The 21,658-nt window shown below is 34.1% G+C and overlaps 1 protein-coding gene across 5 annotated transcripts in view; it reads right to left on the reverse strand.

Moving 5' to 3' along the window:
• Positions 1-685: 685 nt before the first annotated feature.
• The window catches only part of SESN3 (sestrin 3), a 66,963-nt gene continuing 45,990 nt past the window's right edge, over positions 686-21,658 (reverse strand). For all 5 annotated transcript variants that reach the window (NM_001271594.2, XM_011542614.2, XM_024448355.2 and 2 more), the window contains 6 exons: positions 20,429-20,665; positions 19,593-19,767; positions 13,883-14,001; positions 12,892-13,082; positions 10,671-10,815; positions 686-8,514 (listed from right to left, as the gene is read on the reverse strand). In NM_001271594.2, the coding sequence (NP_001258523.1) occupies positions 8,428-8,514; positions 10,671-10,815; positions 12,892-13,082; positions 13,883-14,001; positions 19,593-19,767; positions 20,429-20,665 (954 nt within the window). In that variant the 3' untranslated portion in view covers positions 686-8,427. The remainder of the gene's footprint in view (positions 8,515-10,670; positions 10,816-12,891; positions 13,083-13,882; positions 14,002-19,592; positions 19,768-20,428; positions 20,666-21,658) is intronic.

Genomic DNA, 21,658 nt, shown 5'->3' on the forward strand with positions numbered 1-21,658 from the left:
TTCCTTAGAAAACTTGCACAAAAGACTGCACATCCCTTATAGCTTTCCAAAAGCCTATTTTACATTCCTACTTAGAAGTCTTATCACCACTTCACATTACACATATATCATCTTCCTCTCTCCATTACTTTTTTTCTACTTTATATCAAATAGTAACACTATTCTCTGGGCTTGTTTATCCATTCAAGCTCATTATTGTGCTGTATATTTCAAATACATGAGTACACATCACCTAATTCTTAACCATCTCAAGAAGGTATTACTCCTGATAGAATGTAGTGCAGAAATCAAAGATCATAGAGATTAATTTACTTTCAAGGTCGCAAAGCTAGTAGAATATGAAAAAAACTAGGTTTTTTAATCCAGGCCTTTAATCCAACCTTATGTTCGATGCCTCTTTCCTCATTCTAATTACTGCTTTGGTTAACAAGAGACAATAATAAAGTTAATTTGCCTCTTGCTAAGATCACAATTGATATTTTAAAAGGTAACAATAACTATATATTTTGCACAACTTACACTTTTGCAATATTCCACCAATAGAATATTGAGTGAGTGATAAGAAATATCACCAGGAAACTGGGTCAGGAAAAAAATAGTGAAAATAATGACTCCTATAATTCTGATATCTTTAAGAATGCATGTCTCAATAATCAAGCAGAAATAAACCAAGCGAGAATGCTACTCCAGTATAAACAAAGTAGGCAAATGATTGGTGTTCAGTTTTGCCAATTTTATTGAACCAATAAAATTCCTACTAATAACAATGAAATAAATTTCTGCAAGTATAAATGTGATACAGTTTAACAAAACCCATTGTTCTGTACCTATAAATAGATTTTCAAAATGTCATAAAAAGTGCAGTTATGAATTGTTAACATGTTAATACACAGTTCCTTTATTTCAGATGTGTTTGTCTTGACTCACTAACAGTTCCTTCTGCATCTGTCCAAATAATGTTACCCTCCCTCCAAAGAAAAAAAGAGTCATTAAAGCACTAGAATATTACACATAAACTGATCCATTTAGGTCAGCTTTAGTCAGAACTGTAAAATCAGCAAACATAAGAAAAACAAAACCTAGTAATACATACAAAAGCTTTCATGGGTTCTAGAACCTTCTTAACTGCTGATTCATGTGGAGGGCATTAAGAGTTGAAAAGGCTTATATGGTTAACTACCTTAGACTATATCTACAGCAGGGTCTGGTTTGCCAGAACAAGTTTAAAGTGGCTGTTTATTAAGTTTGCTATTTTCAGAATTGAAACTATAAGACCGCCATTTGACACTGAAACTTGCGTGAATCCTAAATTGCATCAATTATCTATTTGATAAAAGCTTATTCTAATTTAAAACCTTATAGAGTAAGAGACTGATATATATAGCAGTCTTAAAGATCACGTCATCTGCCTTACATTAGTCCAGTCACGTGCTTCGTAAAAAAAAAAAAAAAATTACAGTAACAAAGCACAGGACTACAAAGGCAAAACATCACAGCTTCTGATTACATTGAATAAAAAGTACCAAGAAACGCAAATGATAATTCTGTATTAATACTGATGAATTAAAGAGCTATAACAGACATTTCACAGCATGCTACATATATCGCTCACAACTTAAGGATAAATGTCTAACATTGAAAGTCAAGAAGTTGGCAATCTGATTTCATGTGCAATTCAGCTACAGTCTTAATATATACATTCATTATGTAGCTGTCCTGCAAAACCAGGATTTTTTAAAAAGAGTTTTCAAGTTCAACTTCTATTTCATAAGTTAAAAGATGCGTCCAGTTCTTCCATGACCAGGAAAGTTATTTTCAGGCTTAAAGGAGCTAATCCAAGTAGCAAGGCCATGTTGCAAGTGGACCTGACAGGGTTCTTTATAACCTTGCTGAGACTGTGTATGTGTATGTGCCTATACTAGTAGCACTGAGAAGATGCCAAACTGGCTGTGGTTTGCTTTCTATGTCTCTTATTTTGGGTTGAAAAGAGTAAATGTGAAGAGAAAGAGGAAGGGGAAACTGTATTTTCTCTCCAGAGAAGACTAAATAATGCAAAGGAAATATCTGCACTAGATATATAGTTTGGATCACTTTCCTTGGTGAACAAGGGTACTATTTAACTCTTTTACCTTAGAGAACCAGCGAAATTCAGAAAGCGGAAGTCTCTCAACATTACAAAGGAAACTCCTTGGCCACCCAACTAATACATTTCTTTTTTCTTTTAATCCTTCCTTATCAGACTTGGGGAGCCAGTTGAAAATGTGTAAAGATATTAATTTAAGAAAGAGATGTATAATAAGTTTTATTCTGTAAGTTTCATAATGTATGCACTTAACTAATCAGGATTTGTGAACAATATTTTAACACTATAGGCCAGAGAGATTCTCTCTGATATTCTTTCGGTAGAAATTATACATTCATTTTTTTAAGAGGTTAACTTGAGGGGTGCAAGAAAATAGACTGTTCTAGCAAAATTTACATAACAAAAATTCTATTCATCTTATTTAGACTTACTAATGTTTGATGTTGTCCTATGAACTGTAAAATTGGGTATCTGTTCTAAAGGCTATTTTGTGGTATGCCCTGCACGATCTCAAAGATTTCCACAAGCATTCAAAAGAATCAGATATTCATTCTGTTTCCCCCCCATATATATAATTTTTCATTCTGTACTTCATGGTGGTACAGTCATAATTAGGTTAAAGCTAAAATGAACACTTCATGGCATATAATTTAATACAAACCGCCTCATTCAGTCTCCATTATTAAGTCTCATTTCTTAACTAGGATGTCAATTCATTCCTGAGCCCTGAAAGGCATTTATTGGATACTACTATCAGGTTGAGTTGTTCATGAATGAGATGGAAAACAACCAAATACTACAAGAAATAATAATAATCTATACTTTCAAATGGGATGGTTCATCAGGTCAGACAACTGTGTGCAGTGTCCCATGTTAGAAACCTGACATAATTTTACATTTATGAACAACCTCAAGTGCACCTAGCTGGAGAGAAGAACTATTACATCTTCTTCCTCTTTGCATTTCCTCTTCCTTCTGGATATACCCGAAGTGCGGCTAGGAGAATAAAGACTACAAAGTCAATGCATTTTCTTTTCATCCCATGGAACATTTTTTTTCCTCCCATAAGAACAGGATAGGAACAGAGGTTAGAGGCTTAGTCTAACCCAGGAAAGCCTGGTTAAACCCTTATGTACCCAATTTTGTGTTATTTTATCTATATTTTAAATCATATGGGCTTCTGTGATCCCATAGGACCATCTAAATACCCTTTGCCATATGTCATTCTATTAGAAATGTGTTTCAAGGCCCAAACACCACCAATAAAACAAATGTCTGGAACACCACCCTATTTGCATACCAGAAATTTCCCATTCCACTGAAGGGTTACAAGTCATTCTGGATTGCTGGAGAATTTTAACTTTACATTCAAATAGCTTGGACTAACAACAGTATTCATTCATAACCTAATACAAATCCAAGTTAGGATGGCAATTCAATCACTTTAAAATCCTGTTATATGCTAAATTCTGAACGATAGAAATAGTTCAATTTCTGTATCATGTATAAATATAAAGTTTCCTACTTTGATAGAAGGCAAAAATCTTTTATGATTTATTTAAAATATGGAAGTTGTATTACTGAACAACAGTGAGTGAATCCATGAAAAGGTTGGATACTCTGAATTTATAGGCTCTTTGGGGATGAGGTAGAGGAGAGCAAGATATTTCGGCAGCAGGGAAAAGGGTAGAACAGAATAGGGTGACACAATTTACACTTGATACTGCATTAACATCTGGTAGAGTGTCTAGGGCAAAGGTTAGCCAAAATATAGCTGGATGGTTGAGGGATTTAGAAGGAGTTGGGATGAATCCATAGTCTCAATGAATGGAGAAAAAGTAACTCAGGAAAGTAAATGCTGGTGACTTATCAGCGGGTGGCTGGTGATGTTTGGTTTGGATTGTGAAAGCTGCTTAGACCAAGATGGGCTGAGGGAAGGGGAGGAGAGTGAGCATGTAGAGGTTGAGGCACTTGGAGGAAGAAGCAGGCAGAAAAGGGTGGACTGAATGCAGACAGGACCTCCCACATGGGAAATATTTTCTCTAGATTAGGTGTACGGTGCTGAAGGCAGCCACACTCTCAGCACTATGTTCCTCATATTCTTTGAAAACTCTTCCTTCCTCATAGGGCTCTGCCTTGACATATACCTCTACCTCTCTTATCCATTTCACCCCAGCTATTTTTGTTCTAGGTCTCACCTGGGCAGATTCTAGGTCTGCTAACTAAGCCAAATTAGCATTGAAATAAGCTCCACATACAGTGGGCATATAAGTTCTGTTGACTGAGATAAATACATTCATGTTACAGTACTGCTTTGAAGAAAGACTATTTAATTTGATTCTCAGTCTCCAGAGGGATATAATAGGGAAACACAGTTTACGTTGACGGCCACCTAGAATAGATTCTGATTACATAAATTAGGTAACTTAAAACTCAATCTGAGCAGAGGAGCCACGACTTTCAGCCTGCTGTTGAATTGTGCTACTAAGCAAATGTGATATACTATTTACATAACAAACATTATTGTTATGTACTGTTTAGTCCATGTTAAGACCATCTCTTTGCATAAAAGCAGTTCTATTAAAGAGAAGAATTTAAGGTCTTGCTTTCCAGAGAAATGATTTAGAATTGTCTTTAAAATACAACCTAAAACACCTTATTTTGCTAACACAGTGCAAATCATTTTTATAATATGCACTGAAATTTATTTTTTCCATGAGGAATTGTCCTTAGAGTTCAAAAGAATCTTACCATCATATAGGCATGCACCCTCCCTCCACTAAAAATGGTGTACTATTTTAAGTACAGATCTTTAATTGTTGATCATTTTATTTTGCTGTGGCACAGAAATCTAAGATTTTGGATTTAAAAAAAAACTTTATAAGGGGGAAAAGGAAAAAGTTGCTCTGGAATAATAATTAGCTTTTAGAAGCATTTAAGATCTTTAGGAGACATTATAACAACTAAATAGGAGCTCTGGTTCAAATTTTATAGGATTCTTATATAAAACTTATATTGAGTTTTCTGTTGTAAAAACAGCCCTGTGTTTCTCTGCCATTATTTGGGCTTACAACCATAATTAAAGGCCAAGGCTATGCCCCAGATTCCATGTTAGCCATCTTTTATTTTAAAAATACCCCAAATGGGACAAATTCATACTGGGACTGAGACAATGTACTTAGTTCAAAAAGGGGAAGGAGGTAATAAGCTGTCTCAAAAGCCTCTTTTCCCCTAATAGTCATATATCCACCTGAGGAAGCCTCGTCTGAAGAAGCCAGTGAGGCACCTGCCTGGCTACTCCCATAGTCAGGTGGGTTAAAGAACAGATTATTTTCAGGTGGGAGAGTATCTCAATATTTCTTAAGGTGATCTGAGAAATTATAAATTACCATTGAAGCTGGAAATCTTGAAATTCCAAAGTAAATAGACATTATTCAAGCATACACATCAGTGGACTATGAAGACTAATTTTAACATAATAAGCAAAGAATTAAAGAATTCACATTCACATGTGCTTTTCTCACGTACACTTGCACATTTAAGTTTGGCACAATGTGAGCGCAAGGTGTAGATCAGCATATTGCATAATCACGTCATTATACCAATTGAACCAGATATCTCTTTTAAAAATATCACATTTTAATATAAAAAGCTATACTATAAATTACTAAATAGTAAATTCAATACTCTGAAAAAATACCACCCTGGAAAACCGCATCAGAATTTCAAGTTTGCATTGGATAAAGAGAGTTAACAGCAAACTCGTTGTAAAATGGTATTCACAACCTGAAATGCTGTGCATGCTGCGTATTAGTAGGTGCTTTAGCACCTGCAGAAGTCAATTTTTCTAGGCTGGTTCACTGAGGTTCATAAATATATGGTGTTGTTTTTGTTTATAGTTCCAAGTCAACTTATTTTCCTATTGATAAGATAGATCAATGCTGAGCTAAAAAGAAACTTTGCAAGGAAAGAGATCTATTAAAGGCACTAATATTTCCATAGCCTAAACTCCAACTACTTACATTTCCAGGGAAAAAAATAAACACAAACTAAGTGGCCATTTTAGTTACTTAAACCTTGTTTCCCCTTTTGGTCTAAAGCTCATATGGTGTTCTGTGAGAATTTCTCCTCCTTTTCAATACATACAAATCATTTTTTATCCTGTTATACAGTTCGCCTGCACAAAAATATAGGGCTATTAATTGAAAGCATCTAGTAAAAAAACAAATTCAAGAATAAATGACATCCTCAACTTGAAAGTTGTGAAGTTAGGTAAGTCAAATGGACATTTATGTTGCCATTTGTGTTTTGCCATTCTCCTAAATATTTTCTTTGTATTACATATCTACATAATGTAATATTGAATAAAAGTTAACATATGGCATATGCAATAAAACAGACGAGATATGGCACAAGTTCTCTGAATAATCTCTTTAAATAAACCACCCTGTCTTTAAAAATATTAGTAATTTTTTCCTCACATGGAAGATTTCAAACAGGATCCTGGAATCCAAAAATGCAGAACTACCTTATGTTAATAAGTATACAGTCATATTTGTTTTCCTATCTGGAACAAAATCTAAAAGAAAGCAACCCAATATATTGTACCAGAGGAGGATGATAAATGGAAGAGGAAAATGATTTCATGAAACACTAGTTCACGATTCTTTCACAAAAGAAAAGTTAAATCTTATATCACAAGTAAGTCTAAAATGAAATATTTGCGGGAACTCTAACAGAAAATTTTATCTATATTATTTACTATGAAAAATGGATAAGTTTTCAAAAATTAGCATGTATGTGTACAATTCAAGTCACCCTTAACTAACCAAAAAGTGTTTAAAAAGCAGTGCAGTTGTGTCCTACTGGATAGTTGTAAGCATCTCTTTAGGCACTTCACTGGTTCATTGACATAATACAAATTAAAGCTATAAACACATAATGTGCTCTCTGAAGATAGTCTAATCAAGCAACGTAAACCAATGCAAAAATGTGACTTTTTGGCCGCTTATTCCTCCCCTATGACTTAATAACGTTTTTAAACCAGTTGTCCAAGGAGATTTTTCTGGGGAAGGGAATGCTTTGGCATTATGAAAGGAACATTGTTCAATCCCAGAAAGGTAAAACTGAAAAAAGCCTGTGCAATAAAGAAATTTGAAAAAAATTTCTTTATGGCTCTGTTTAAAAGGACACTTTTGCAGTGATATGACAGGGGGAAAGTTTAGTTGAGTATTTTTTGAACATATTGCACTCTGTTTTTGTAGTTCAATCACATTAATGCATAGAAACACAATTTTTACCTTTGAAAAATAAACTGTCTAACCTATTATAAGAACAAAAGTCATGGAAAATAATTTCTAAAAGCCTAACAGGAAAAATAGGCATATTAACCTTCCTTTGCTTAACGAAATATAGAAAAAAACTATGAGAAAGGAAAAATGTGCAAAGAAAATTTTTGGTCAGTCTTGTGTGGGTACAGGTTTATATGTGCCAACTAAATGAACTGTAAGCAGCACTGTGAGCACTGATTATTTAAGGTGACTGAGGATTACTGTCAGTGATAGGATTGTGTTATAATTCCACTTATATACATCTGATATGGAAAACTGAAACTTCCATTTTAGAAGAGAAAGAAAATAGCTGAATTTGGCATTTCAGTAGCATGCTATAGAATTCATCATGATTAATTTCACATTAAATTATGGGCAATAGCTGTATCACATTTCATGTTATCGCCAATAGCAGTAAAACAACAATAAATGAACAAACAAACAAATAAAAAACAGTGCCTGACAAATAATCTCCTGGGGACACAAATATGTGTCCAGTGAGCAGCTTGGTTCAACAGCGCATGCTTTTCCTCCACCAGATTTAGGACACAACATTAAAGTTTTAGAATGGCCAGAGAGGTCACTCTTTGCTGAATTCCAATATCTGAAAAACAATTGCTTGAGCAGATTGTAAGCACTTGTCCTTATTCTTAAAAAAAAAAGGGCGGGGTGGGGGGAGAAAAAATACACATACACACAACCCAAAGGCGCTGAAGTTAAGCATTAATACGCCAGATTCATGATTTATGATCAGTATCCAAAACTCCAACTACAAACAATGCAAAGTAGTGCTCCTCAGTATTATTTTTGCAATTGTTAGTAATGTTAAGCATCAAGGAAAATAAAACACATCATTGCACATTACAGCCGCAAAAAACAAAAAAAAAAAAACAAACGGCTAAACTTTGACACTAGAGAACTGAATAATTTTTGATGCTATATCACAAATAGCTTCAATGTTTATCTTATGTGAAAGGTCTTTACACATGTATGACATTTTCCTTGGGTGATACTTCAGGTCAAATGCCGAGTTATGGCACGAAGAGCATAAAGAAGTTCAGCTTGCATTCGTGCTTCCATTAAAAGTAGATTGACATGAACCTAGAAGTGAAAATGTTATCAGTTTAGTAACCATTATAAACACCTGGAAAATCTTATTAGACATTCACAAAGGTTTTTTTATGTGTATATAAGCAATATACACACACACACACACCTAGGCATATTTATCCATGTTCATGATGCAACACTCAAACCTGTGTCTAATGGCTCTGCAAGCAGTAAAAATAACCCATAAAATCTAAAAAATTCTGATAACTTTATTAAAGTTGTTATTTTTGTAAAGTCAATCTGTTGGGTTATAAAATAAAACTAATTTTTATAAATTATAATTTTCCTACAAATTACATTTCTTTCTAGTTATAAAATTTTACATGGCTAAAAATCAGCCCTCATTTTTTTTTTTAACAGTTTATGCTTATCCTGTGAAAAGCTTTAAAAAATTTTTCCTAGTATTTACTTAAAAGATACTAAAGTGAAAATCTGATGTTTAAAGTTTCTGATTAGTGTTTGATACTTGTTAGACATACATAGCTTCCCTAGAGTCTTTCAGATAAAATTCTGCAGAACATTTCTTTCGGGGTTACATCTCGGCTGATAAGTTAAAATGGGTATCCACAAGTTTTCAAAATTTACTATAAAAATATGTTTTAATATTATATTCTTTTGATATATTTATACCAGTTGGATATGTGGTTGGATATATTCTCCTGAAGAGTAAAGAGAATTTCTAGATACAATCTAGAAAAGGAAGAAAATCTAGAGCAAACATATAAATATGGGATAAAGACCCATCAAGGGGAAATGCTGGATGTAAAATGGGTATTTACCTGATGTGAGTGGCTCTAAGACTTCAAAAAATCTGTTAGGTACTGAAGCCATAACATTCTCTGCTAAGATCATACAGTTTATTAGCGAATGTTTCCTAAAAAGATTTTCTTACTTTCAAGCTTCGAAACTGTTGTATAAAGGAGATTCTTGAACTTAAAGGTTAAAAGTCCTAGGACTTAAGGCCAGCTCTTATACTATGATGTTGATAAAGATCCTTAACATTTATTAGGTTTTCTAACTTCATGTTGCCTATATATTTCTTTCAAATAAATATTTTTATGTAACAGTATATTTGGCTCAAAGGTCCTGAATTATACTGTCAAAACACTAAATTACCAAGTTTGGGTAAAAATCTATTGTCTTTTTTTCGAGAGATGAAGTCTTGCTCTGTTGCCCAGGCTGGAGTGCAGTGGAGTGATCTCGGCTCACTGCAACCTCTGCCTCCTGGGTTCAAGCGATTCTCCTGCCTCAGATTCCCAAGTAGCTGGGACAACAGGCATGCACAACCATGCCCAGCTAATTTTTGTATTTTTTAGTAGAAATGGGGTTTCACTACATGTTGGCCTGGCTAGTTTTGAACTCCTGACCTCAGGTGATCCCCCCACCTCGGCCTCCCAAAGTGCTAGGATTACAGGCGGGAGCCACTGCACCCAGCCACTATCTGGGTTTTTAAAATATTTTTTTAATTCAGATTTATTGACTAGTAACCCAATTTTGGTTATATGCTTTGTTCAATATAGCATATAAAAGTTTATCGTAAGCCTTAGAAATACTAGATCTGAGTACTGATATCTTCAAAGCACATTTGGAAAACTGTCTACAGTTCTAACTATTAATAAAAATCAGACATACTGAAATGTTGTATTAGGTATAATTGTATTTTGGCCCAGAAGGCACATCCATTTCGAGATTCTTTAACCACTAAAGTTAACCTATTAAGACAACGGTTTCTGCTGGGCACAGTGGCTCCTGCCTGTAATCCCAGCACTTTGGGAAGCCGAGGTGGGCAGATCACCTGAGGTCAGGAGTTTGAGACCAGTCTGACTAACATGGTGAAACCCCACCTCTACTAAAAATACAAAAATTAGCCAGGCGTGGTGGCAGGCACCTGTAATCTCAGCTACTCGGGAGGGTGAGGCAGAAGAATCACTTGAACCCGGGAAGTGGAGGTTGCAGTGAGCTGAGATCGTGCCACTGCATTCCAGCCTGGCAAACAAACAAGCAAAAAAACCCCAGATAGCTAGATGATGCCACTTCCATGTCAATGGCTATAATTTATTAATACTTTCATGTGTCATTTTTCATAACTATTACTTCTTGTACTGAAGAACTGTCTATGGTATAATGCTTAATACTGAAACACGTACTTTTTCTGAGTGTTTGAACTGCCGCCAGTAACTATCATACATGCGTTTTGTAGTTCTCTCAGGATAGCAGGTCACTGTCTTAATGTAAACCTTCAGGCTTCTTTCAAGTAATTGATTAACTTCTCCATAATCATAGTCATCATACCTACGAGCAATACAACAATAGCTTTATAATGACAAAATCAAAATATTTAGTTTCCAAAGTTATACTAAGGACATTTATTGTCTAGTAATTAAATACTAAAAGCTCGTTAATTAATTGAATCAACAAATGTTTACTGAGTACCCATTATGTGCCATGAGTACTCAGTAGTAGTGATATACTAGTGAACAAAACAGACAAAAATCCTTGGTCTCATGGAGCTTAAATTTTGTTGAAGAAAAAACGAAGAAAAATTAAAAAGATAAACACATTGTAGTCAGATGGTGATAACTGCCATGGAGAGGAAATGGAACTTGGTCTGGGAGGAGAGGAGTTGTTATTTTAAATAGGGTGGGCAGGAAGGCTTCTCTGAAAGCCTTGATATTTGAACAAATACCAGATGGTGGTAAAGAAGCAAGTGTAAAGGACTTGAGGTAGGAGTCAAGTGTTTCAGGGAAGAGCAAGTAATCACTGAGTCCCATGCTGCCAAATAGTCAAATAAGATAACTGGGAACTGACCACTGGAAGTAGCTATATGGAGGTCACTAGCAACCTCGGTAAGAGCAGTTTTGTTGGTTGATAGGGACAAAAGCCTGATACTGTGAATAGGTTCAAGAGAGAATGGGAGATAAGAAAATAGTGACAGTAAATATACACAATTTTGTCAGAGATTTGCTTCGCACGAAAGCAGAAAATGAGGCAGTAGCCAGATGGAAATGAAAGGTGAAACTGAAATTTTCTTTAAAGATGGGAGAAATTAAGTGTGTTTCAATGCTGATGGGAAAGATCCAAAATGGGAGTAAAGCTGATTATGCTGGAGAGAGAAGGGAGCATTGCTAGAACTGAGATCTTTAGAAAATGAGAAATGGGATTTTGTGCATAAGTGTATAGGAACATAGACAGTAATGACAGCAGAGTAAATGGGCACAGATGTAGACAGGTAGGTAAATGTAGTATTGGGAACTTGTGGAATTTCTCTGTTACATTTTCAGTTAATTTTTAACCCATATAATGCTTAGTTTAATAAAAAGAGTATCTTGATGCATTTATGTAAGCTTTATTTTGTAGCATCCAACAGATATATTCACCACATTTGTTGCCTTGTATCCAATACATATTTATTGCATTTAAATTGAGTTTTATCGGTGTTTATTTTTCTTAAGTAGGTAGATATGATATATATGTGTTTTAAAATGTATTGATTCTTTGATAACATTGTCTAGCATGGTAAATGGACAAATAGCTCAGTTATTACATACAACCATAATCTATTACATGGAATATCGTGTTATTAGGCGATTTATCAGTAAATTTTGGGGTTCTTCAGCTAAAATTATAGAAAATACTTTGCTTAACCGATTAAATTCTAATTATCATAAAGTCTGTCTGATATATATCTATATAGTCAAGTTGAATAATTTGTAACTGGAAAGTTTTTCTGTCTGCTAATCTATTTCCATAAAAGCCTCAAAACCACAACTCAAAAAGGCACATTCTCCAAAAAGTGCTTTCTTGATTAGACTATTCAATCTCATGTACTTACTGTCCTCTCAATGCTAATTTTCTAAATTTAGAGGTCATTAATTTATATTGGCTGATATATTTAATTTCAGTGTTATGTGACCTTATGTAAGCTTATGAAGGCACAACCTAGTACAGTTTTGTTTATACCGTAATTACCATTCCTTAAAAAATAAGTTTTAAAAAGACCAAACTAACTAAACAAACCAGAATTTATTATAGTGATCTAAAGGGACACTACACCTGTTTTTTTAAAACTCACCTGTTCTTCCAGGAAGGATTCTCAAATTTGGTCTAATTCTATCCTATCCCCAATCATTACTGATGCTTTTTTCCCTCAGTAAATTTTTACCACTATATTTACATGTGCATCAATGTTAAGATTCATAACACTTAAAGAAAAATGCTTCTCCATAAAATGAAATTAATTTTTAAAATCAGAAGTCTACATGTAATATTTTCTTCCCAGAGTCATATACTCCCAAACAGGACAAAAATAAGACTCATGCTTGAATTTTCACTTAGAAATGTAAAAAACTGTCTCTACAATGAACATACCTGATTCCAAACATACAGTGAACATAGTTAAATAAAGCTCTGCGCAGCATGGTTGTGTCAACATCCTCATGGGTGGCCATAGTGTTATATGTGAGATTGTAGACCATCCGAAACTTTTCATCAAGAAGATGTCCAATGTCAGAATAAAGTCTGTTCACCAGGGAGAACCCATGATTTTCCCAGGTATAGTCCTAAAAGAATAAAATGTATTTAATTACAAAGTGGGCATTTTCCATCTAAATTCTATGTATTATTAAATATAACTAATGAAGCAAGTAAGCGAGGCTATTTCTAATTTAGCTCTAGGTTTTCAGCTTTACTAAGGCTTTACCAATAACCCTTCACATCAGTTAGTAGATCAGAGTGTCTGGATGTTTCTTCATGGGGTATGGGATTTGCCATGTTAGTGATGAACTCTGGTCATCTCCTACACTCAGGTACTACGCACACTATCCTTTTATCTGGAAGGGCCCCAGGAGATCTTGGAATATTCCCATGTGAACAAACCTACCCAGTGACATGGACAGTTAGCAGATCATCTAAAATAACCATGAATGAGTTTGTCATAATTCAATCTTATACCCTCTTTAGGAGTCATATCACTGCTGTGGCTATTTCCTAGGGGTGAATATTAGAGTAGCCCTTAAGCCCATGACTACTGGTATATGATTTTATTCCAAGAAAAAGTGATGTCACTTGTTTTCCTCTCTGTTCCCCCTCAAAAAAATGGTATAAACATTATGCAAATACCACGTAATAATAGAAGTAAGTGAATAAAGCAGACTGTTTCCTTTTGTCTTCTTAGGGAGAAAAATGTTGAAATAATTATCCATCTATTGGGAACTCCAATTAGATTAGGCTGAAACTAGGTTAAATACAAAGATTTATAGATTCTATCAAAAATTGTTTAGTGCCAATTTTTAAAATTTAAACACTTAACAGTTAAAATGACAGTATGTTCTAGTTTCTCTGAATTAAAGACATATTATACCTGAGCTCGGAATGTTGGCAAATGCTCTTCTCCTCGTCTGGCAAAGTCTTCATACCCAAAACCAGGGTCTTCAATATATCGAGAGACATCAGATGTTATAATCATGTCATCCTCAAAATCTAAGGACAATAATGAACAATCTAGTGTTAAGGATACTGTACGTGGTTATGACAATAAAACGGAACTCCATTTTCTTCCACTTTTTAGCTTTTCCATGGATTTCTAAAGTGAAAACATGGACTCCGTGACTTTATATAAAATATCTACTGCTAAAGTTTTAAATATAATTTCATTACCAAATACTGGCAATCTTACCATTTAACTAGTTTTCCTAACTGTTAGTTTGACTAACTGAAATATCTAAACAGTAGTAGCAAAGGATCAATATGCTAGTTTTACTAATTTAGGAATGGAAGATAGCATAGGCCTATAAGTATAAAGCTTAACCAGTTTTTTTTTTTTTGAGACAGAGTCTTGCTCTGTCGCCCTGGCTGGAGTGCAGTGGCGCGATCTTAGCTCACTGCAACCTCTGCCTCCTGGGTTCAAGCGATTCTTCTGCCTCAGCCTCCCGAGTAGCTGGGACTACAGGTGTGTGCCACCATGCTCAGCTAATTTTTTGTATTTTTAGTAGAGACAGGGTTTTGCCATATTGGCCAGGCTGGTCTCGAACTCCTGACCTCGTGATCCACCCACCTTGGCCTCCCGAAGTGCAGCTTAACCATTTTTTTGGTTTTGTTTTTATCTCTCCAGGGGATGAAGTGGGATGAGAGGAAGGAGAAGAGATGAAGGTGAAAGACCACTCTGAGGTCAAGATAAACTTTGTTAAAATTACATGGTGTTTCATCTGGATGTATTCACAGTAAAAATTAGTTCAATATAGTTTATTTTTAGCTTGCAAAAAAGCATATAGGGAGAAAGATCAGAAAGGACACTCAGTGGGGAGGAGAGCAGAGTTTTTGATGTCGTTATCATTATTTTAATACACTTGAGAGCTAAGTAGGGGGGCTCAGTTTGTGAACATTCACTGAGCTTTATGCCTAAGATATGTGCACTTTTCTATGCATATGAAAACAAAAAGAACACAACATATGGAGTAAACAATGTCCTAATGAGACTGTGACTAGAATATTACCAAAGTGGCATTCAGGAAGATAGCAAGGCAATAATAATATTTTAAGAAAACTGATTTCTGCATACTTGATGACATTAACAATTTACCACTGAAAAAGTTTAAATATCCAATGCATATTAATTTATGGAAAATAATTCTATCTCACTTTTTATTTTAGGTTGGTCTGTCTTTACTATTTTTTCTGATTTTAACCATTAAAAGGGAATGAACAAGCTTCATTTACTAGCTTCTAGTCTAGAAAATGAACATATATTTCTCAAAATAAAAGAACAAACTAGCTATTTCCCTGAAAGGAACAATATTTTCATTATAAGTATTTTAGTATTAAATGTCATATTTCATAAATAATAAATAGTAGAACAGTATTATGGCATAATAAAAGACAAACTATAATTCTTAACTGAAAATTTTTGAGAGACTTAAAAAACAAGTGTAATTATGTTAATTCTTCCAAAAGAAAGACCTGGTAGTAATACTTCATTATCTTTAATCTTTGCTATTGCATGAACATCCTAACATTAAGTATTCTTTTCTCACAAGTTTTCAGCTGTCTTTAGGTCACTGCTGTGGACTAACTGGGTGCTTGATAATGGCAGGAAAGATTAAGTGCTCCGGTTACCCAATTTCAGATAAATCTTATTAAAATTCTTAACAAACTTCATTACATATAAAGAAAAGAGACGGTGTTTACTGAGTACTTACCATATACCAAGTACTATACTACACACTTACTATCTATTTTTTGTTTCATTAATACAGGAAGAAATATCCATTTAAGAAATAAATTAACTGTATCTTACTAACACCACTGTCAGTACTGTGTCAGGAAGAAATACAATGTGTAGATGTTTAAGTATAAGATGATGTGAAAAACTTCTAAACATTAAATGCTTAAATTGATCTGAAGTTTTTAAGTGATTTTTCAGTCCTGTGAAGAGAATTTTCAGGCTTATCCCCAGCCCAATCCCATAACCACTTTATTTTCTCCTTGTCCTCCAGCACTCTATTCAGGTCAACAGAAACACTTTTAAAATGGCATTTTCAATGCATTATCTCTTAACATTTACAAACCAGCTTATACTTTCCTTAATTCAGTTCATTACATAATAATATAAATGAAGCAAAAATTATAAAATGTAGTAGCAATCACTGAGGCTGCTATGAAAGGTAGTTTTATAGGTTGCAAAGTTTATGGTTTGCAAAGTAAAATAAAGCCAAAAACGGTAAGTAATAACTAAACTCTATAAAACAGTCTCTCTCTAGATGTGATTTTTCCTTTGACACTGCACAACCAAATGGTTTCATTTGGCAAATACTGATACTGGAGTTGACTATTACATAGTTGGTTCTTTAGTTTTTGTTTTGCTCATATACATTTTCAAGTTGTATGACTTTTAGACATTTTAAAATAAACAGTAAAAAGTAAGTAGTCAGCCAAATAAGAGAAGTGATCCTAGGAAAAATCTCTATGCATTAATTTTTAACTTAGGAGTCAATTAACACCTGTTTCCTAGACAATTTTTATTCACAGAAAGAAATGTACAAAGGTCCCTCAATCCACAAATACTTTTTTCCTAAATTTATCTTAAGAAGTTAAAATTAGCATTCTGATTATTAAATCTAAAACTCTAGCTTTAATTCTATCTAAACAAATATTTCAAAGTCTGTACTCAAAAGAAATAGTATTTTGTTCATTATCTGCATTATTCTGCCCCTAAGAAGTAGTTACTGACATAATACGGGAAACATTCTGTTGCAGTAATGGAATGCGTAACTGAAAATACAAAAAACAGTAAAAGCTAGTTAACCCTGTTACCAAGCTACAGAATATGACCCCTGTAGAATACTTTAAACATTTATTTTCTTCAAAAGACTTGAAAAACTATTCTTAGAATCCTTACATAGAATCTGGAATACTTTATAACGCTGGTCAAACCAAGACTTTTTTAATACCAAAAAAAACCCTTTTTATTTCTATTTTAAAACATGGTAAGTCTACACAAATGACTCAATTAGCTATTGTACTGAGTCTTTTTTCTATATTTTATTTGTGCAGCCAGCAAAGTTGGTACTGGCAATGATTAAGAGTGAAATATGTATTTTTATATATATGTGTGTATATATGTGAATATATATGTATGCGGAGGGGTATATGTATGTATACTGACATTATTTCCTTGAAATAGCCTCTTCTATTAAAATTAGAACATAATTTTTGGCTAAGGTCCAAGACTTTCTAGTCAAAATTCACTTTTGAAGGCTGTAGTCCCAGCTTAAAGTTCCAAGAAGGTAGAGACTGAAATCCAAAGTATATTTTTAATATTTCAAAAGACCTAAGAGAAATAAAACATTGATATTTTTCAAGCTTTAGTGATCTTAATGAAGCTCTTAAAAATTAATTTCTGAAAACACACAGATATTACTAACTTTAATATAAATGTTTACATTTTTAGACATTAGTTTACCTAGAAGGTTCATCATAGAGTCATTATTTTCCTTCAACCTCACCTCTTCTCTCTGGATGAATTTTATAATCAACTTTTAATGTCTGTTCCCAGTTATATGCTGATAACTTCTAAAATTTTGCCTTGACCTTAAAGCCCTCTCCTGATTTCCCATCTCTTCTACCCTTTGTATTCCAAGAGTGGCTTGCATACTAGCAGCACTGGCATTACTTGGAGGCTTGATAGAAATGTGGCCTCTCAGGCCCTACCCTAAACTGACTGATTCAACTTCTGCATCTCAACAAGATTCCCCAAGTGACTCATGAACACTGAAGTTTGAGAAGTGCTGTGCAAGACATTTCCAGACTGGTTGTTTTATAGACATCTCTACTCAAAATGTCCAAAATACGGTAGGTTACATATTTCTTAAGGTTAGCAAGATCCTTACAGTAGGGACTCTACCTACCTAACCAGATTTCTCTTTACACTACCTGTTTCATGATGTACGTCCTAACAACACAGAACCACTTGTTCTTGGACCCAGCATCCTGTTTCCTTACCATCGTGCCTTTGCTTGGGCCTGGATGCTGTTTACCATGTCCTCCTGTGCCCCTCAGTCATTACCTGACTTCCTCACACTCAACTGGGTTAAGATTTATCTTAGAGCCAAGGGCTGCAGGCATTCTTCCTCTAGGTTCCTCTTCTGCCTACACCCTTTGCCTATCAAGACTGGGTTCAGTGCCCTCTTCTAGGCTCCTATCTTTCACATTCTGCTATGAGTTACAATTATTTTTTTGCTACTAGAATGAGAGTGCCCTGAGAGCAGGAATCATGCCTTATTTAACCTTAAAACCTTAGTACCTAACACCATGCTGAAACTCTATCAGGTACTCAGTAAGTGTTTGCAGAGTGAATATTAAACCAATAATCCAAATACTAGGTTTCTTTGTTTGGAATTTCCTGCTGACTAGAGGCTCTGATTTTAGTGACAGTAATCTTCAATGGATTAAATTAATTGAAAGGATTAAAATGGTTACTCAATTTGGTAGATAAAATTTTTCATAAAAAAGATCATCAGGAGAAATGATAAAAAGGGTTCTTGTTCTTCCTGGTAAAACTGAGAACTACTGATCAATGTTTTATGTTTAACATTAACAAGTTACGGCTGAAACAATTCTCAAAATTTATGAGATTGATGAGTTTTAAGACAGGCAGTAGTTTTGAAGCCCTCTTTTAGATCAACAGAACTCTATTTTTAAAAAATATATTATGTGTGATCCCAGCTACTCAGGAGGCTGAGACAAGAGAACCGCTTGAACCTAGGAGACGGAGGTTGCAGTGAGCCAAGATCACGTCACTGAACTCCACCCTGGGTGACAGAGCAAGACTCTGTCTCAAAAAAAAAAAAAAAAAAAAGTTATGCACATAGATTACTTTTAAAGAGTTTAAACTTTGTATTGAGTCTATGCTATTTTAATATCATTTACTATGTGGTGTTCAATATCTTTTTAGTTGTAATTGAAAAGTTTATTTCCTATTTCAGTCCTTCGAGTATTAGAAAAACTGTTTTCAAGACTACAGCAAAGAATCTCAGCTTTTAACACAGGATGAATTCCTCCAAATTCAGTCTAAGAAAATGACCTAAATAATACATTTTTATAGAATTCCAAAGAAATGTAAATGCAAATGCAGTGTAATTTTAGAACTAATCTGGAAAAGCAGCAGTGTGAGAATAATCTTCCCACACACCCCCCACCTACAAAAAAGGCAGTTTTTTTTAAAATTTTATCTATTGAAACAATATTTCACTTATCATTTTTAAAAAATCACAAAAGTAGGATAAATTAAATATGTCTATCTAACTTTATAAGTAACTGATCTGCTTTAAATAACATTTTATCCAGGATAGAGTATGAACTACAAAGCTGAAAGTTTCTCTCAACTCAATCTGAAATACATTCAAGGATGAACCAGCCTGAGGGAAAGCAATAGCATGAGGGTAAGATAGAAGAGGAGAACTAAATAAGAGAAAGATGGTAGCAGAATCATTTTTACATATCCACATGGAAAACACTGAAGTTGCCCTGTCAGGGTTCTAAGAACAACTAAAAGGCAAAAAAGTGCAAAAAAGCACCTGAATGAGGAAATGAATGAAAAGTATCTCCAGAGACCACAAAAAGACTTTCTTTCTTCTCCTTTTCAAAACGAGTGCTCATTTCTTCTTGAGACGCCTCTTCATCTTCCCTTTCTTCTTGAAGTCTTTTCATCCTTTCCATTAAGGCCTCTAGCTCACTTAGAGAATCCACAATCTGGAAACAGATAAGATAATGTTGGGTGCTATTCATACTAAAAGTGTTCCAGTAAATATCTCCATCTCCAAATGTCACCTTACTATGTACAGCGGAACAGGCACAGTTATGAAGTTCTTAAGTCGGTTTTTCACCAATTTCAAAGGAAATCATGACAGATTCCAACATTTTCAGAAGTATGATTTTTTTTTTAGTTATAAATATAGAAGTTTATAAGTATATATGTGTGTGCATAAAATCTACAATTCTAGCATTTGGTATATATTAAATATTATAGTTTAGTTTAAAAAAATGAGGCAGCACAATTGTTTTACTTTTTGCTGTCATAAGGTATGTTTTCCATTGGTTGTTCCAGCATCTTATACATACAAGTATATTGTTTTGGGATCTACTGTCCAAAGGGTCTAACATTAAAAGCCTATGATCACTAGAATGCATCACTGTTTAGTCTTTATGATTTGCAGTAATATGTATTTGCTTTAAAAGCCTCTTTAAAATAAATCAGAACTTCAGGTACCAAATTTTTACAGTAATAAAAATTATGCAAAAATATTTTAAGTATATAATATCCTATCTAATTGGAGAAAAATTCTCTCTAGATATTTTTAATATTAGAAGTTTAAAGCAAAAATAGTAAAGAAAAATAGCTAAGAAAACTAACCCCAAAGTTGCTGCCTGAAAGAGATGCATTCTCTATGTTGTTGTCATTAGCAAGATCACAAACGCAGAAATTGTTGACTGATATTAGCCTGAATCCATTGGAGATTTCTGGATCTCTCTCTGGATTGATACCACTACCAAAAACAAAGCTTGCCAAAGCATGATAATGTGCCAGGAGGACCACAGCATGTACCAGTTCAGGCAGAGACCAATTATTTTCTCCAGTTTTGACAAGTTTCTGAAATAAGAAAGCAAATCAGAGCAAATATAAAAATTCTAGAATGCTACAAAGAAATTTCAATGAAAATCTACCAATTTTCATATATCCACTTAGAGTAATAAAACTTAAAACTCTCTTTTAAAAATGTTTCACATGTTAAAGATATGATTTTGGCCAATGCGCCATTAAAACTATCATACCTAACAATATAATTACATTGTAGTGTCTTCTAAATCCCTTATTATACAATAAATCTTCTGCTTCCAAATCATTTTTTATATAGTATGCTATTTTAATGAAATACTTTTAGAGAATCAAAGAACACTGGAGCTAGATAGGACTTTAAAGATTATCGAACAAAACCATTCATTTTAAGGTATATTGGAAACTTCATCTCACAAAATCACGAAAAACCCCAATTCAGCAAGTCAAGTTTCAGTTATCCTTTAGATACCTTCTAATGGAGAAAGAACCTGCAGCAGATGACAGAAATTGTAGAATACTACCTCACATCTGAATAAGAATTTTAAAAATTTCCAAGCACTTTTTCATATTCTGTATTTCACTTGACCCTCCAGCTGAATGATGGATCACAAATGAAGTCATTAAAAACAGTAATTCCTCCACTTTGTCCAAGAGTGAATTCCACCAATTAATCCATCAGGGATTCTTTCCCATCGGTGTTCATTTTCTCTCCCTTTCTCTCTCTCTATCTCTCACTGTGTGTGTGTGTGTGTGTGTGTGTGTGTGTGTGTGTGTGTGTGTGTGGTGTATGTAAGGGGGAATCTCATCCCTCTCTTTCCCTCCTTCCAAATCTAAAACTTTCATTTGGCTTACTTAATGGCTAAAACAAAACAAAACAAAACAAAATAAAAATAAAACTGCTTTCTTTTGCTTTACTACCCACTATTTAACTACACACCATATATAATTTAATGTATTACCAAAAGCTCAGGGAAAAGAAAAGAAAATCAGTCAAATTCTATCATCCTATGGCCAGGGGAGATAGGA

The sequence above is a fragment of the Homo sapiens genome, chromosome 11 (genome assembly GCF_000001405.40).
Source record: "Homo sapiens chromosome 11, GRCh38.p14 Primary Assembly".
In the NCBI taxonomy this organism is placed as follows: Eukaryota; Metazoa; Chordata; class Mammalia; order Primates; family Hominidae; genus Homo; species Homo sapiens.